At 43.2% G+C, this 19,573-nt stretch overlaps 1 protein-coding gene and 1 long non-coding RNA gene across 5 annotated transcripts in view; one reads left to right on the forward strand and one right to left on the reverse strand.

Annotated features, from left to right (window-relative positions):
* CLNK (cytokine dependent hematopoietic cell linker) overlaps positions 1 to 19,573 on the reverse strand; it is a 248,452-nt gene that overhangs the window by 124,995 nt on the left and 103,884 nt on the right. The window lies entirely within an intron of this gene.
* LOC105374480 (uncharacterized) lies at positions 9,659 to 17,746 on the forward strand. Of its 2 annotated transcripts, XR_001741593.2 has the most exons (5): positions 9,659 to 9,763; positions 9,945 to 10,453; positions 11,411 to 11,461; positions 13,390 to 13,530; positions 17,116 to 17,746. It is a non-coding gene; the product is annotated as an uncharacterized LOC105374480 (long non-coding RNA). The 2 variants fall into 2 exon arrangements; XR_925383.3 differs by lacking the exon at positions 11,411 to 11,461 and having other exon boundaries at positions 17,116 to 17,745.

The following is a 19,573-nucleotide window of genomic DNA, read 5'->3' on the forward strand; positions in this document are numbered from 1 at the left end:
CAGGAGGCTGAGGCATGAGAATCATCTGAACCTGGGAGGTGGAGGTTGCAGTGGGCTGAAATCATGCCACTGCACTCCAGCCTGGCCACAGAGGGAGGCTAAGTCTGAAAAAAAAAAAAAAATGTAGTGGACCTTCTTCTGCAGTCTGCAGGGAAGCTGGGAGGGGCCTCCCGTGAGTGCCAGAGGGGCTTCTAGAGAAGGAGCCCCCCAGGAAAATAGCCTTTCCTCTATCTCCTGGTGCCACACTTTATGATCCCAGCAGGTCCACAAAAAAGAAGGGAAAACAAGGTAGGGGAGGGAAATGAGAAGACAGAGTGAGGCCCAATGATGTGCTGCTCCTGGGGGTGGCTCCTGCCTTCTGTCCTCTGAGAATCTCCAGCACCCTCTCCCCTTCCTTTCCTCCACTTCTTACTTCCTCCAATCCATTCACTGTGTTGCAGCCAGGATCCTCATTGTAAAATCTGGCATTCCTAATGCCTGTAGTCACAGTCCATCTTTGGAACATGACTCACCGGCCCTCCATGGTCTGGTCCCTGACAATCCACTCTCTCCCTACAGCCCCGATTCTGCCCCCAAAGAGCAGCCATCATGAACAATTGGCCAAATCTCTGTCTGTAAACAGTAAACGCTGCATGTCACAGCCAGTATTCCCACAATGTCTACAATGAAAAGGTGCATAGGTGAACATGGGATTCATGCTTTCTTGTTCCAGACCCATCTCTCATTTGATCCTCTCAGTAACCAAGTGTTGAGAGAGCTGAAGAAACCTACCCACATCTCTCAGCGAAAAAAATGACATTTATTTTATTTCCATATTCCCAGCTCTTAGAATGGGGCCCCGCCCACAGGAAGAGTTCAATACAGATTGGTGTGAAGTGACAGAAATGAGCTTTTGTACAAGGTCTGCCCAACATCATGGTCCTGAGAAAGACACCTGAGTTTGAAGTCATTCCCCAAAAGACAATGGACACATTGGCCTGTGAAAGATCCCACGTCCAAAGTGTCTTGCTGAGAGTGTGTCAGCCACTTTTCTCAATTATTCCTGTTGACAACATTTCAGGTTAAGCCATATTTCTACTTTACAGATTGGGAGGAAAAGCCCAGGGAGGCAAAGTATATTGTTTGCAGCTGCACAACAGTAAACACCTGAATGGCATTCAGTATCAGGCCTATCTGACCCAAAGACTGTTTCTTTCCACTGCGTCATGCTGGGTTTCATGGAAATGGAGAGTGGCTGGAATCCTAGATTTACCCCATGGCTTATCTACTGCCCTTGGTACACAGTTGATTTCCCATGCTGATGAGCTCTGGGGTGTGGCAGATCTATCTTATCATGTTGTCTAGAGACATGGGTTTTCAAAGCACTTATCAAAAGATAATCAAACCCAGGAAGCCAGGGTTGGAGTCAATCATTATATCTCATCTGTGTTCCCCAGGGACTGTTTAATAGCAGCATTTGGCATCGAAGGTGTTTAGGTTTTGCTACATATTGAGAATATTGTAAGAATTAAATGAGATAATGCATGCAAAATGCTTACAACCATGCTTGGAATAGAACAAGTCCTCAGTAAGTATTTAGGCTAGAAATTTTTACCAAAATGAATTCAACAACACATTTATTTTTTTCTTAGTGCTCAATGTGGGCCGAGAATTACTCTCAGTGCTCAAGATATATCAGTGAACAAAATAAAGAAGATGGCTAATTCCTATGGAACAAAGCAGAAAAGGATCTCTATCCATGGAACAGAGAAGGACAACAATAACAGTAAACAGAATGAATCAGGAATGGGTATAGCATGTTAGCAGGTGATAAGGTGCTCTGGAAGGACTGTAGAGCAGGTGGGGGAATCAGAGTGCTGGGTGGGGTGGGCAGGTGGGTATGAATAGTCCTTGGGGTGGTCAAGGTGAGCCTTGCTGGAAAGATGGGAACAGGGAAAAGGCACTGGGCACATCAGCTGTGGGATAACTGAAGGAAAAGTTCAAAGGCAGGAATGTGGCTAAGTAGTTGAATCAAGGTAATGAGGTCCACGTGGCTGAACTGGAATGCCTGCAGGGATGGATGGGGAAGATGGTCCAAGAGCCTTTTGGGAGAATCAAGGCAGATGTGACAATACCCTGTCTGTAGTCATTGAGAGGCACTAGACTTAGGCCATGGCTATGAAGCCATGTCAGGGTCTCAGACACAGGAACACAAAGATAACAATTATGACTCAATAGGATCTCTCTGTCTTCTGGCTAGAGAATAGGTATGTCATTGAGGGATAAAGTGGAAGCAGAGAGACCCTTTGGGAAGCTATTGCCACAACCCCAGCAGGAGATGGAACAGGGTGGGAGCAGGGGAGGTGTTACTCTCTTTGTAGTAGCTGAGACTTCACCCACAGAATTAATCTCTCCTGAATGTCTGCTCTTTTGGAAACCATTAAAAAAGCAAGCCCACTTTGTATGTTTTCCCTTGTTCCATCCTGAATAGTTCATCTGACTCTGTGGCTTTGTCTTTGACAACCTGCAGGATAGGTTCTGTCTCACCTGGAGAATGTGCTTAAGATTCCAGAGGAAGCAGGGAGCCAGGTGCTGACCAAGGACCCTGAATGCCCAGGCCACCCTCAGTGGCAACCACCATACCAACTGGAGATTGAGAGAGCAACATCGGACTCATAGTGTGCCTGCCCTCTCCACATTGAAATTTCTCCAGCTGTAATATAGGAATTTAGATTATTTGGGCTCTGAGAGTCTTCTGGCTCAAACTCCAGTAAATGTAGTGATTAAATTCTCCTCCCCTGGCAGATGTCTGGGTGAGATGTCTGCATGGAGCCTGCTGGTAGGAAATTTCTGTGGGATGTTAGACATCTTGTGTGTATGGTAACTAGCACGTTGATGAGTGGCTCAAATAATGGTAAACACTGTCATTACAGAGATGCCAGGTGACCTGGATATGTTAGATTTATCCACATAGAGCCCTGGTTCCCTTAAGTAAGGCTGAGTTTTCATCCTTGGTTCTACAGATATCTATGATGCCGTTGTTTCTCCAGGAACTCTCCTCCGCAGACTTAGGCTCTTCTAGAAGGTTGAATATCATCGACATTAAGAGTGTGGGATTTGGAATTGGCTAACTGGCCAGATCTGTTTTTCAGCCTGAGAATTCCCATTTCTTGCTAGTCAAAGTGTGGTTCCCAGACCAGCAGCATCTCCCAAGGGCTGGTTAGGCAGGCAGAATCCCAGACACCACCCCAGCCCCACTGAACCGAAATCTGCATTGTAATAAGAGGCCACGGAATCTGTGTGCACATTCAAGTTGGAGGAAGTTGATGTGATCCCTCTGGGATTTATTTCTCTTATCTGCAATACAGTTGATGACAGCATGTCACAGAATTGTTGTAAGGATCAAAAAATCAATACATAAAGAGCCTTGTTGTGATTGTTTCCTATGAGTACCCACTCTCCTAATCACAGAGGTCATCTGGTTGCTATCAGTTCTGGGTGCACTAATAACAGAGATTAGAAGAGCAAAGAAGGGGCTGGGTGCGGTGGCTCACACCTGTAATCCCAGCACTTTGGGAGGTCTAAGAAGGGAAGATCACTTTAGGTCAGGTGTTCGAGACCAGCCTGGCCAACATAGCAAAACGCCATCTCTACTAAAAATACAAAAATTAGTCACTCATGGTGGTGCATACTTGTAATTCCAGTCACTCAGGTGACTGAAGCAGGAGAATTGCTTGGACCCAGAAGGTGGAGGTCGGCAGTGACCCGAGTTTGTGTCACTTCACTCCAGCCTGAGCAACAGGGTGAGACTCTTAAAAAACAAGAAAGAGGCTGGGCGCGGTGGCTTATGCCTGTAATCCCAGCACTTTGGGAGGCCAAGACGGGCAGATCACCTGAGGCCAGGAGTTCGAAACCAGCCAGGCCAACATGGCAAAACCCTGTCTCTACTAAAAAATACACAAATTAGCCAGGCATGGTGGCACATGCCTATAATCCCAGATACTTGGGATTGGAAGGAGGAAGGAGAATCGCTTGAAGGAGGGAGGAGGGAGGAAAGAGAATAGCTTGAATCTGGGAGGCGGAGGTTGCAGTAAGCAGAGGTCGTGCCGCCGCACTCCAGCCTGGGCAACGGAGTAAGACTCTGTCTCAAAAAACAAAACAAAACAAAACAAAACACCAAGAAAGAAAAAAAATGAAAAAGAAGAGCAAAGAAGAGCCAGTAGAGTTCTCCATGCACCTGCTCCAGGTATAGACCCCAGGACTTTTGAGGGGCAGATGAGGATGCGAGCTCATAGTTTCTGAGTAAGTATGCTGTCTTGTCATAGTCCTGGTTACTTTACCTGTCTTTACAGTGGTGCTATGATGAAGGTAAAATAACCTTGATTTACAAATAATGAAATGACTCTCTAAGGTCAAAGATTTTTCCAAGGTCAACTAGTCAATGGTAGTGTTCTGGTAAAGCCTGAAACATTTTCATAAAAAGTCAATAACAAAGGAGGCATTCAATGTCAGACCTGCATGGAGAGGAAGAAGAAGAGCAGAGGGAATATTGAGTTATCAGTGGTGTGCTGAAGCTGGCTTATGCTCCCCAGCAGAGCTGCTTTCTGTATTAAAGTTTCAGGAATTTTGCACGCCAGTTGTTAAACAGTCATTATTAAAAATTAAATTATATAAAATTATAATTGACAAAATTAGACTAAAAGCAAAGATAATGAATATACAAAATACATGAATTTCTAATTATTTTACTACATTTCGCGATTACCTATGGTCTTGATGTTATCTACATCTATTTTATCTGAATGGTGGAAATATGCTGCTGTTCATCTCTTCACCACCCTCAATTTAGTGAAGTAATATTTGCAGCTGGACGTTGGCCATAGTGGGAGTACTTACACCACAGAAATTGGCACATGCTACAAATCGGGGTTTAGTTTATTGCTTTGTGGACACATTAGACTTAAGAAGATAATGGAGGAAATGTTAATAAAGCAGATTTAACTTAACAGTATGCTGTGTCAATATCTATAACATTGCGAATAGCACAAAATAGGACATATTCTTCCAATATTGAAAAGTATTATCTGATTCAACAAAGAAGCTGCCCACATCTCTGAAGAACAAGTAAAGTCCTCATATTTCTTTGTTGTTCCACTTTTGTTTTACTCATTAATACAAAGGAAAATAGCAGCAATATTGATGTTAGAACTATACTAATTTGTCAGTTGCAACCATAGATTTGCTAAAGATATGAGAGTTCAGCAAAAATCAATGAAATCATTCTATGAGAAGGAACTGACTATATGGAATTTATAATGAAGAGTACTGCATATTTCATTATTATTTGTAAATTATGTACTATACAACTTTTATACCAGTAACATTTATAATAAAGTTGTGTGTGTATATATGTGTGTGTGTGTATATATATATATATATATATATATATATATATACACGCATTTTTTTTTCTAGAGAATTGTTCAACATTTACTAAAATTTGCCAGAACACCACTGGCTAACCCACCTTAAAGCATTGCCATTTATAATGTCTGTGGTAGAACGAACTCAGCTTGGGGGTCAAATATAGCTAGTACATGGCACACCTAGGATGAAACTCTGGGCTTCTGGCCTGACAATGATTTTACTGCTCTGATCCACATGCTTCTTATCTTTCAAGTGGGAACAGTATTAGTGTCTTAGTTGTACTGTGAGAGTGAGTGCACAATATAAGTTAATGCTACTATCCTTTCAAGAATAGCAACACAAAAGAAACAAAAATCCCATAGAACTTCCTCACCTCCCTCTCTTTCCTCCCCTCCCCATCCCAATGCATACATATATAAATTAAGAAACCTCCTTATCCCTTGCTTAATATGCTAATGTCTTCAATATTTGTTTATCTGTTCTCTAAGTTCAACTCTCCAGCATCTATTGTTTATAGCTGGAGATATAAAACTGGAGATGATCCAAGTTCAATCTTCCTTTTATCTTCTCCCCCAAAAGAATATTTGTTAATAGGATTGATGTGTGCAAAAGGGGAGAAAAAAATTCCAAAATCCCCTTACGAACTACCATGTGATATGTAACTGTAAGGTATGGATTTCTCACCAGTGGGACTATGAGCTGCTCATTGGAAATTTCTACTTCTGTCATTTTCTGTACTAGACACTTGGTAGTTATGCAAAACTCTCTGGTAAATTAAATGGCAATGAAATAATAGTCAATTTTTGCTCAGAACATTAAAAATAAAGGCTTTAGCTAGTGATCCATGAGCCAAGCCAGACTTTTGAAGCTTATGGTTTGATTTTCAGTATCTCTACTGTTATTTTGTTTTATTTGTACCATATAGCCAGAAAAGACTGAAAAAGACGGAAAAAGAGTTTGTTACTTCTTTGGCAGGCTCATTTTGTGGTTCCAACTCTGCGCTTTTCTACTATGAGTGTAATCAGGAGAGAAAAAACAGCTTTGTTTGCTTTTGTTTTTGATTTTCATCCTGGGCTGTAGGGAAAGATGTGGAGGCATGTTCCTTACATCTGAATCACTAGTGTTTTAGTTGGGGAGCAAAGAGGAAATGAGCTTCTACAAAAGAATCAAGATTCTGGAGATGGTTTCTTAAAAAGTTGAACATATGACCCAGTAATACCACTCTTAGGTATCTACCAAAGAGAAATAAAAATGTATGTTCACACAAAGACTTACACACGAACATTCTTAGTAGTATTATCCATAAGAGCCTCAGACGGAAAACAACCCAAATGCCTATAAATTGGTGAGTAGATAGACAAAATGTATACTCATGCAATGGAATATTATTTAGCAATAAAAATGGATAAACTGTTACACGCGCTACATCAACTAACCTCAAAAATATCATGAAAAGTGAAAGAAGCCAGACACAAGAAAATACCTATTGACTGATTTCATTTAGGTGAAATAATCCAGAAAAGGCAAATCTGTAGAGAAAAAAGTAGATTAGTAATTGCCTGGGGAAGTGGGTGGGGGACTGGGATCAACCATAAATGGGTATAAGAAATCTTATTAGGTTGATGGAAATCTTCCGAAACTGATTTATAGTGAGAGTCACACTAGTTGGTGAATTTACTAAAGAATCATTGAATAGTATACTTTAAAATGGGTGAATTATATGACATGTAAAATATGCTGTTTTAGTTTATTCTTGCACTGCTATAAAGAAATACCTTAGACTGGGTAATTTATAAAGAAATGAGGTTTAATTGGCTCACGGTTCTGCAGGCTGTACGGGAAGCATAGCTGCTTCTGCTTCTGGGGAGGCCTCAGGAAACTTACAATCATGGCAGAAAGTGAAGCAGAAGCAGGCACATCTTCCATGGCAGAAGCAGGAGCAGGAAAGAAAGGAGGAAGGTGCTGTACACTTTTAAACAACCATATCTCACAATAACTCACTCAGTCACGGTTATGTTATGAGAACAGCATCAAGGGGATGGTGCTAACTCATTCGTGAGGACTCTGGCCGCTGGATCCAATCACGTCCCACCAGGCCCCACTTCCAGCACTGGGCATTACAACTGGACCTGAGATTTGGGTGAAGACACAGATCCAAACCATATTGTATGCCTAAATAAATTTATATCTAAAAGAAGGTTCAGGAGAAAAGTACATGTTGTCAGCATTCTTTTAGCCTTGATCAATCATCAATGAGTGTCTCAGGCTCTGTCTTTGACCACAGAAAATCAGTGAGTAGCTCTGTGTTCTACACTGCCAGTTGCACAGTTCCGCTGAAACTTGGTAACACATTAGTCCTTCTGGAGCTATACTTGCAGGTAGGCGAACACCCATGGACCAAGTGCTGTAATTCAAGCTAACAATGCCTAGCTATCTCCAAAGGCAATCGCTGGAGCCTTTTCACGCTAAATTAGAGGTAAGCATTGTAATCACCGGCTAGGAAAATAAACTCACTCTGGTTTCAGGAGCTTTGTGTTTTTAAACCGGTCAGACTCCTTGAACTGCTGCCAGCAAACCATGAATATACATCAATGGGAGACAGATGGCGCCTTTGGGACTGTGTTTTGGTAATAATGATGTGGTTAACCTTGTTCGAAATAAAATGAAATGTTTTGAGCTACCATCCCTCCCAAAGCACCTTGGCTGCTCTCTGTGTGGCAATGACTTCACTAATTAAGTGTTGGAATTAGCTTCATTTCTGCAGGAAACATAGGTGTGTTTGTGTGTGCAGGAGGGGTTGGGGTGGAAAAAGAAAAAAAAGGAAAATAAATAAAAGGGAAAGGAAAAGGGACATTCAGTAAATGAATGGGTTGGAATAGATCTCTCTGATCTTCAAAAGACAGAATTAAACAAACAGCAACAAATAGAAAGGCGGTCAGCATGGTGTGCTATGTGATCCACACAGGCTCTCAAGTAGTCTTTCCAGTATCGTGTGGAGCTGGCATTCCTATTTATATTTTACAGATGAAGAAACTGAGGCTAAGGAGGGTAAAAACTCTATCCCAGTCACCAAGAGGTAAGAGGCTGCTACAGGCCAGACTCTTCTGCTTGGCTCAAAGCCCGGGGCGTTTTCCCATAATACTCTGTGTTAATCGCTGGTGGGTTTCAATGGTACAGAAAGAGGGAACCTCAATCACCAACCCCTGTTTTCTTTTCACACAAGAATGTGAGAAATCTGTAGACTGGATAGTCCCTTCCTTTCTCTGCTCTTCACGGCCAAGTGAGAAATTCTGCGCATCAAGAAAAGGGGAGAGAACTGAGCATGCGTCTCCTCTTAGACGCATCCTCCTCCCTTTCCTCAGAGCCTAAGCACTCACATCTCCTCGTTGTGAAAATGAAGGATTTGAATCTGGAAACGGGAAGCTGTGCACTCCAATCACATGATCCGTAGTAGCCGTAACTAACTTCGTTCCCGAGATGCACCATTTTACTAGGAGGCTGTTGCTTCATTTGGAACCCATTGCTTTGTCCTTTTCAGAGAGGTTTTGTCACCCAGAGGATCCATGTCAACACCAATGCCAGAAACCCACCTATCCTAAAGTCACCTCACTCAGGCACTGACTTAACTGTCAAACAATCGTCACTGATTTTATCTAAGCCACTCAGTAGGACTCCCTCTAACCAAACTGTCCCATCCCCTTGCATTTTTCTTTAAAGGTGCCATTCATTCCTCCAAGAGCATGCAGCATCTCATATCCGTAAGGTTTCTCATGCCTAGGCTGCAGGGCTCCCTGACACTTCCAGAGGCAATTTGTTCTTACTCTGCTCTCAAAACCGAGACCCAGTTCTGCCTTCTTTAGCGTGGGGTGCCTGCCTGCACCTGTTCTATGGCTCCTAATTCTCCTGGTGCTCTGTGTTTACTTCTCTTATAATGTTGACAGTACAGTGATGTAACTTCTGGCTTGCTTGACTGCCATTTTACAGATGAAGAAGCTGAGGCTGAGGAGGGTAAAAACTCTACCTCAGGCTGGGCGCGGTGGCTCACACCTGTAATCCCAGCACTTTGGGAGGCTGAGGCAGGCAGATCACAAGGTCAGGAGATCAAGACAATCCTGGCTAACATGGTGAAGCCCCGTCTCTACTAAAAATACAAAAAAAAAAAAAATTAGCCCGGCGTAGTGGTGGGCACCTGTAGTCCCAGCTGCTCAGGAGGCTGAGGCAGGATAATGGCGTGAACCCGGGAGACAGAGCTTGCAGTGAGCCGAGATCATGCCTGGGTGACAGAGCGAGACTCCGTCTCGAAAACAGAAAAACAAGAAACCAAAAAGCCCTACCTCAGTACCTCAGTCACCAAGAGGTAAGTGGCCGCTGCAGGCCAGACACTTCTGTTTGGCTCAAAGCCCAGGACGTTTTTCCACAGTATGTCCTTGAAACGCGATAGAAGTGTCTTCCTGGAGAGGGCAGAATGGTAACAGGACACCTCAGACAGGGGGATTCTTGAGGGCAGGGACTGTATTTTATTTGTCTTCTAATTGCAGCCCCAAGCAGAGTTACCGGAAGATAGCTGACATGTATTAAATGTTTGTGGAATAAGGAATACATGAAGAAGTCTATCATTCAATCAAAGAAAACTAAGTATCATTGGAGGTCTTTCCATTTTGGGGTCCAGTGGGTGTCCTTTGAGTCAAGAGCATGATCTTCAATAGACTTGGGGCCAGAAATGTGACATGTGTCTGAATCCAATCAGATCCAGTTAAGATCCACAAATGCTAGTCACTGGAATCTGCAGCCCTTGAATTAATTCTGTCCTTAGATTTGATAAGCCAATGTCAGATTTATTGTTGTTATTTATTATTCTGTCCCTCCAGGATGACATTAGGAACATACTGTCAAGAAAAGGATGATGCGTGTGCTGCAAAATGCAGGACAATTCACTTTCCAGGTGGGGTCTGGGGCCTGTGGCTTCTCTGTGAACTTTCTTTGTGTGCTGTGGAATATTTTCCAGCTGCAGCCTATTGTCCTGTGATTAGACTCTGGGGCTCCACAGGTAAGAGATGAACAATTCTAAGGGTAATTGAACACTCCACAAATTTTCACAGTGGATCAGCACTGTGCCATTTAGCCCAGGTATTTCTGTGATTGCGATGCTGAGAAAATGTACACCGTTAAGTGGTTGTCAAATCACTCTTTCATCTGAGCAAAACAGGACTTGTTATTTGCAGTCTAGGTCATAAAAGCAAGTGGTTTGGGGAAAATGGCTGCTTAGAGACTAAGAAAAAAGTTTTTGTTTGGAAATTTGAGTTCTTAAAATCCAGGCATCAAAGATTTCAAGGAGTAGAAAATACTTAAAAGTCTTTGCATTCTCTTCCCCTTTATTTGGTAAATACCATATAGATTGTTAGGGGCATAGCCAGCCTGGAACCAGGAGTTATAATGATATTATTCCCATTATACTGATGGAGAAATTGAGGCTTGTGGTCATATAGTTTTAAAGGAGGGACTCTGGGAGGCAAACTTGGGTCACCTGATTTCAAGCCTTATGTTTTCTCCAGACAAGTATGTCACTTTGTTTATTCTTGGGTTCGTTTAAAAATGCAAAAGAAATGTCATGCTCCTTTGAGAGCTTACAATTCATGACGGGATGTGACAGGCTACAACAACTCATGGCTAACTGCAATAACAGGCATGAAAGCCCTGACCAAGGAAAGAAGGTCTTTGCCCAACCTTGGTTGAAACAGTATAGGACAGAAAGGGGGCACCCACACCATCTGGAAGTTTTCACCAGTTCTTTGTCAAGAAAGAACATAATTTTGGTATTAAAACTTGTCATGGTTTGGTGGAAGGAACAACAGTACAAATGCATACCAAATTCATACTATGAAATTTGCCCATTTTGAGTATATAACATTGATTTTTATTATGAAAATATCTTAGTCAGCTTGGGCTGCTATAACCGAATAGCATGGACTGGGTGGTTTGAATAATAAACATTTATTTCTCACAGTTCTGGTGGCTGGAAGTCCAAGATCAGGATGCCAGCATGGTCAAGTTCTTGGTGAGGGCTCCCTTCCTGGCTTACAAACAGCCACTTCCTTACTTGGTAGAGAGAGGGAGCTCTGGCCCCTTCATCCCTTACAAGGACACTAATTTTCTTCAGAGGGGTTTCACCACCATGACCTCATCTGAGCCCATTTATGTCCCAAAGTCCCCACCTCTAAATACTATTGCATTGGGGATTAACTAGGGCTTCGATATGTCAATTTGGGGGAAACACTAATATTCAGTCCATAGCAGTAAATTATACCTTAATAAAGATTTTAAATATTAATTAAAAAATCTGCATTACCTACAGTTCTCATTCCAGAAAATGAGTCTCCCATTACTCAGTTGAGTCATTGATCAGCTTCATGAACTCCTGACTTAACAAATCCCTCTCTAGGTTTTTCGAGATGGATACCTGTGTTGGAGAGGGTTGACAGACCATTCTCTCCAAGATTCAGAGTATGTAAAATCAGAGAAGCAGCCGTCTTATAGGATGCTCTTTTAATAAAGCCTCATACATTTCTCTTTCAACAAATGTTTGTTGAGCATCTCCTCACTGCCTCTGGGTAATACAATACGGTGGCCAGAGTAAGAGCTCTGGAATCTGACTGTCTGGCTTCAAATTTCAGCCACTAACCTTGTAGATATGCAGCCTCTAAAGCTTAGGGAATGCCAGTACATGTTTCTAAGCCTCCAATTCCTCATCAATATATCAGGTGAAGGGCCAGCTTCTACTTCATTGGATAATTGAGAGGATTTAATAAGATGACGCCTGACAAATATTTAAATGAATTAGATGTATAAACAATATCTAAAGTAAGTTTTAGATACTAAGTGTTAACCACACAGGTGATAAAATACTTAAAAGTTTGTGCCCTGAACTGTAGGGACTCCTTGTTTAGAAGGGAAATAGGCAAATAAGCAATTTCAGTTCAGTGTGAAAAGTGCTCAGATAATGAAAAATACATTTGCTACAGAAGGAGAACCCAACCCTAGAAAACCTTCTGTGGAACTCTGAGTCAGGACAGTGATGTCTTCTCTTAAACGGTAAGAAATGTGCATGACTGAAGAAAGATAAGAAGTGTAGACTAGTGAAGAAAGGAAGAAAACATGTTAAATGTTACATGCAGCAAGGTACGTGTTTAACGTGAAACGTGAAACATACATTCCTGTGAAATGATGGTGTCCCAGTGACGGCAACAACCTAGAATTTTCTGAAAAGAACACTTTTCAGTTTCCCCATCTCTAGGTGGAAAAGCAAATAGCCCGAGTGTTTTAGGTTTACACAATCTAAACAATCCAGAGCATGTGAGCTGGAGGAATGCAGATGCTGGAATAGGTAAGCACTAGTGTGCTTTGCTGAACCCTCACCTCAAACCATGTTAAACAGTAGATATTTCATGAAGATAAGCAAGATAACCTCCAGCCATGTTAAACAGTAGATATTCCACAAAGATTAGTGTCCAGTAGTTTTTTGGTTTTTTTTTGAGACGGAGTCTCGCTCTGCTGCCCAGGCGCCATCTCGGCTCACTGCAAGCTCCGCCTCCTGGGTTCACGCCATTCTCCTGCCTCAGCCTCCCGAGTAGCTCGGACTATAGGCGCCCGCCACCACGCCCGGCTAATTTTTTGTATTTTTAATAGAGACGGGGTTTCACCGTGTTAGCCAGGATGGTCTCGATCTCCTGACCTCGTGATCTGCCTGCCTTAGCCTCCCAACGTGCTGGGATTACAGGCGTGAGCCACCGCGCCCGGCCAGTTTTTTTTTTTTTTTTTTTTTTTTTAAACTTATTTGATAGCAAATACAGCAGGTGTATTTCCTGCAGGACTTCTCAGGATGTCTCAGGATCTCTAAGATGCCAAGAAGCATCATGAAACTCAAGAGAGTTTGAGCTGCTTCCCATAGTATTTGGTTATGAAACAACTCATTTTATTCTTTTGCAGAATCTTGATGACTAGCATTTGGAGGAACACACCTTGGGAAATGGTGATTCTGTCCAAACTTTTTGTGTTATGGCTGTGAGAAATAGACTTACAGAAGGAGATGTCCGCCCCACATCTCTAAACTCATGGGTGGAAACTCAGGTTGAACTTAACGTTTTCTCGATTCTGTTTCCCTGATTTCAGAGACAAGAGTCTGGGATGTCTTTCTTGGCAGTTTCCAAGGACAAATTACATAGTTTTACTGGGCAGTAGAATAATAACCATCATGGTATTGTGAATGTGAACCCATCTTTCATTCCCAAAGCTGCAGGCAAGCCAAGATCACAGTAGCATTAGCTCAGAGATGCCTTTGATAGGAAGATCTCTTGCCCATGGTGCTGTAAAGCCATGCAGGATTTTAACAGACCAATCCACCAGGCCCTGTGGATGGCTGGCAAGATTTGAGCCTTGCTGTGACAGGGAAACATTAGCCGATATAATTGAAAGCAGAGCTGTCCGCCACTCTGCAGAGGGAGGTGTTTGGCGTACAAAGGCAGAGAGAGGGGGCAAACATGACAGGCTGACACCACGGGGAGGTTATTTCAACAATTTGTGTTTGCTTTTCTCACTGCCTCTGCCCTGAGCTTGGCCCTTCTGGGCTTGTTGCTCTCTTTCCAACAGACTGGTCCCCTTAGACCCAGTGAGATCATCAATAGACTTTGGAAATAAAGAGTGCCAGATGGTTATTGTACTACAGGCGTGTGCAGGTGCATGTGCTTGTGTGTAAGAGGGAGAGACAGAGAAGGACAGACACAGAGAGATACAGAGAGACAGGGTCAGAAAGATAAAGAGACACAGAGGTAGAGAGAGGCAGAGACAGAGATTAAAACACAGAGAAAGAGAGACAGAGAGAGAGCAACAGAGTGACAGAGACAGACAGGCAGAGATAGAGAGAGGCAGAGAAACAGAGACAGCAGGAAATAGAGAGACAGAGAGTGACAGAGACAGAGGCAGAGATAGACAGGAAGAGACAGAGTCAGAAAGCAGAAACTGGTTCTGTTACCAATCAAACTCCTACTGATGCATCTGAGGCCAATGTAGCTCAAGGCTGAGGGTTCTCATATGGGGAAGGAATTCTCTAGACTAGGGAAGGAAGCCAATGTGTTATGACCTTCTCTGTAGTGGGCACATTCATTTCAACCGTTCTTTTAATTTAACCTTCACAGAAACATTCGTGTGTGGAAATGATTCCCACCTTTAAGGTGTAGAGGCTGAATCTTGGGGGACATCCTTCACTCGTGCACTTTGACTGGTTGGGGGTGGTGCTGGCTTCAAACCCAGGTCTCCCTGGCTGGGGCTCATGCCTTGTCCACTGTGCAGTGTCCGCCTGCCCAGTACAGCTCTGCCTCAGTCCCCATAGAGCTGGGGAAGTGGCCTCAGAACCCTGCACCCCATTGCTGCATCTGTGGAGTGAGGTTTGCTCTGAGAGCAATGATCTGAGCAGCTTTTGTCACCAGGATGCCTGGATTTTAGACAGACAGTTCCTCTCTCCCCTTTTTGTTTCTCATTCATGCTCTCCTTCTCTTGCTTCTTTTTATTTCGTTGACCCACATCAACTCATCTGCCTTTCCTCTGATTCTCTTGAATGTCATTTATTCGCACCAAATTCTTTCTTTCCTGTAAGACAACTGGAGAAAGTCAGCTTCTCCCTCCTCACTTTCCCCTTTCCTTTCTTTTTTGAAATTTAGTTTTTAAGTTTATATTTATAGAATATTTTTATTACAAAATTAACACACGAGAAAATTGAGAAAAGTACAAGAAAAAAACAGGAAAATAAAAATCGTATAATACAAACGATATATTCTGGTTTGTGGCACACATATATGTAAATACTAATTTTTTGGTAAAAAATACATGCATTAGGATATATGCACTATGAGATGTACCTCCATGAAATCATATTTGATGACTGCATTACAGTTTGTAATGTCACTGTCATAACGTGTTTTAACAATTTCCCAAATTCACAGTTGCGGACATGTGTTTTAATGTCTGACATGGAGTGTCATGCCACGTGCTTTATGCTTCACTCCTGGTTCTGCCTTTCACTACCTTTGTGTTCTTTGAGTAGGCTGCTTAATGTCTCCCTACCTCAGTTTCTTCACCTGTAAAACAGGGAGAGATTTTGTGCCACGTTTCATCCATAGACTAGCTCTAGAATCTGGTTCTCATGATACAGCCAGCCTCTGTAAACTTCACCCAAGCAATTTGCTACATCAGCGAGAGGTCAAAGCGGTGTCCAGGGCAGCTTTCCCTTTAAGTCTTTCCAAAAGACTTAAACTTTCCTTTTTCTTTGAAGCTGTTGGCAGGAAACTTGATATCCATAGAGAATGGGTTCATTTTACTTGACGAAAACTGTGAGTTTTACAGACACCTCCCTGAGGGCCAGGAGTAGCTACAGACTGTGGAGGTGGAAGGTGTCCCAGGTGTTGGAACACAATTGCCACCTTTATGCAGAACAGGAAGCACATCCCACACACCTCAAAGCCTGGCCCTGCACCAGGACTTTAGAGCCTCAACAAAATGAGAATTGTCCCTCCCAAACTTGCCCTTTTCTCCCTCTGTTCTGGCATTTGGAGGAAACAATACCTTTAAAAAGCCATTAGCCACATAAGCTTCTGTATGGTTACTTATTTAATATCATTGGCATTGGTTTCTACTTAGTAACATAGAGTACTATGTTAGGTCTGATTCATTGATCCAAACAACATTGCCACTTGGAACCATGACTGGAGCGTAGTGGATACTGTCAAGGCCAGGGAGAGAGAGACAGAGAAGGACGGACACAGAGAGGGACAGAGAGAGACAGGGTCAGAGAGACAGAGCGTCTCTCTGTCTCCTCCTTCTGCTGCTGCAGGGTGATTGCTAACTACTCATGTTTTAATCCTTTTTGGGAGGATTGCCTTTGACTGACAGGAGCCACAGGGCTTGGTGATGTCTGAGAGGTTGGGTTCCCCACTCCCACCCCCACAGGCATTCTGGGCTACAGACTGCCTGAGCCCCTCACCTCTGGGCTTCACAGAGTCTGTGAAATAGCTCAGCTCCAGAACTTACTGAGAAATCAGGCTTAGGTCAGGCCTCCCCATAACACTTCTTCCCCCTTCTGTCTCCCTCTTTCCCCTGCAGGGTTCTGCTGCAAGAGGTCCCCGCATAATTCACTTGCACCAGAATCCAGGTCTCAGACTTTGCTGCTAGTGAGACCGCCACCTCTCACTTGGATAACAGCCTTTTAACTGGCATCCTGTGTAACCCTCTTGGCCTCCTCCAATCTGTTTCCAGAAAGCAGCCTATGGAAGCTTTTCAAAATGTGTACCTGTTTATATTACTCTAATGCCTAAAAACTTGTAACAGCTTCTTGCTCTTGGGACAGTGTCCCCATGGACCTATATGGTCTGGTCTTTAATAATCTTCGAAGGCTTATCTCAATGTTTCTCCCTCACACAAACTCCCTCACTGGCCTTTCATTTCCTTAAAAGGCTTGTTTAGTTAGACTTGTTTTTTTTTTTTCACTCTTTGCTGAAATTCCTAATTGTCCTTCAGATTTCAACTCAAGGCTACATTCAAAACTCAGATGAAATCAACTCATAGTAGTTTGCAAATATTCATTTATGAGATTAGTTACATTTTTCGGTCTGTATTGATGTTAACTTTGTCAAAGTCAGGGTCTGTTTCTCCTTTGCTCTCCAGACTAAGACGGCACCTAGAATGTGGTCCAGCACATTGAGAATAGAGCAGAAGATGAAAGCTGGAGGGGCTGAGGGGCCTTGGAGGCAGAGTTGGGCTCAACTTCTCATTCCCTGGGACGAACTGTGCACAGTAGCCTCTGCTCCTCCTTCTTCAGTGAAGACTGCGATGCCTGTGTTGGGGCTCAGAAACCGATACCCCAAAATATGATGCTTTGTACATGCTGAACTGAAACAGGAGCTTTAAGCTCTTTCAGGCCTCCCCACATCTTACCGTCTCTCCCAAAGTGTAGGATTCTCTGAAAGTCTTTGTCTGCCTAAAGTCCAGACCTACCAATGAAGAAAACAATCACCTCCTGCCCTTTGTCTGAGTTTTCATGAGCTGAACCCATATTGCAGGAAGGAAGGCTAAGATCTGTCAACACACCTGGGCAGACTTTTGTCACAAACCATTGTCTGCTCTGAGGACCCAAAAGAGCTTGTCCCAGATAATTGCCTGTTCTTTAAGGCTATTAAATTCTCCCTGGTAACCATTTACTGTCCTTCAACGGAAGTCCTCTTCTTCCCCCTCCCATGACCTGTATGACCAGCTCCCATGCCCCCATTCTTTCTGTAACCTCAAGATGGTTTATAAACTTCTGCGCCTCATTGAGGGGTTGGGTCTTCATTCTGAGGGCTCCCGTGTCACCTAAAGCTATGGTCAGATACATTTGTATGTGTTTTCTCCAATTAATCTGCCTTTCGTGAGTTGATTTATCGTGAAACTTCAGAGGATGAAGGAGAAATTTTCCCTTTGCACCTATGCCTGCCACCCTCACAGGCTGTGTGAAGGTCCTTCTTCAAAAAATACTGGCTATTCTTGGCACTGACCTGGCCTCGGCTTTCAGGAAGAGAGGGGAGGCAGGCTCCCTTTCCCAAGACATGCTGGCAGCCTGAGAGTCAAGGCCATGGGGTGTTCACAGATGAGGCCCCCTGATATTTACATGTCTTAGGGATCAGAAGTGGGCACAGCTGGGGCAGAGCGAGGAAGTGCTAACACCCACCAGGCATCTGCGAGGGGACGCCCACATCAAGAAAACCTCAGCACAAGGTTGAGTGTTTCAGCAAACCTCGGGGAGATTGCACATTTACTCATGAAGAGACCACATGGTGAGGTCAGCCCCAAAACCAGGCCAATGTCTCTCAAGCCCAACTAGTTTTCAAGACAATGTCTTGCAACTTATAGAGTTTGGGGGGAAGGCAGTGTGAAGTTCAGGGGGGAAGGCAGTGTGAAGGTGAGCATATCAGTAGCTACCCACCATGCTGGCTAATCACTGGGAAATTCTTTTATAAACAGCCACAGTCTCTCTCAAGTTTTCCAAAATTAGAACCTCTCCAAATTTATTTTTTTCAAGGCTTCAGAAATATCCCATAAATCTTTGAAAACGAAAATTTCTTCTCTCTCCTCAGTCCTCACCCAGGGCTTCTGATGCTGCCAGTCAATCCCAAGTCATGCTTGGTGTTTGGGGACCACGGCAGTGCAAAACCTCTGAGGGCCTGGGGAGAAGGAATACCTGCAAGACTAAGAATAATGAAGGGATATAACAGAGGATAGCCTCACTATGCTCCTACTCCAGAAAATTGGATTATTGTCTGCAAAGATTCCTCAGTCTTGTGGACACTGATGAAATATTGTAGACTGGAATTGAATCTGGCTTGTTGTCTGTTTGTTTATTCCTGAGCCTGATAATTTATTTGAACAACTTTGCCTTTCTATAGTACATGATGATCGGCAAGTTACTATGACACGCATTTGTACCCATTGGACTCTGTGACCATTCTGAAGATAAGCTCTTGTCACCCTCCTCATGGAAAAAAATGGAGATTCATGAAAGTCAAAGGACTGGCCCAGGCTCTCACAGGCAAAGCTGGGATTCCAACTTGTGTCTAATGAGCCAGAAGCTCAGAGTCGTTTCCACTCTTTCTGCTCACTCTACACCAAACTCTGGGCTATGTGTTGTGGATTCAAAAATTTTGGAGCCACTGTCTCTCCAAATAGGCTGTGAATTCTAGGAGGGGAAGAGCCAATAAAATTAATTATAGCACTATAGAGGGAGAGGGAAGGCTTATATACCTTTCCCCAAGTCCACTTCATTCCAATTTCCTATCTATCTACACCATCTGAGCATCCTTCTTTCTCATTCATTCAGTCATCAATTTTTAGTCCATCTTTTCATTTATTCATAAATTTGTACATTTCTTCAGCAATTATAACAATAAGCCATTACTTATGAGGTACTTACCACAGCCTGGTCACTGTGCTAGGTAGGCACCACTGCCCTATAGGTGTTGTGATGTCCATCTGCTTGTAGCAGGTAAGCAGGATTGAGGGCGTTTCTCTCATTACACCAAGCCATTTATCTCCAGGCGTATTTGCCAAATGAATAAATGGATGGAGAAATAAATAAGGGCTGTACTGATAT

Source organism: Homo sapiens, chromosome 4, assembly GCF_000001405.40.
Source record: "Homo sapiens chromosome 4, GRCh38.p14 Primary Assembly".
NCBI lineage: Eukaryota > Metazoa > Chordata > Mammalia > Primates > Hominidae > Homo > Homo sapiens.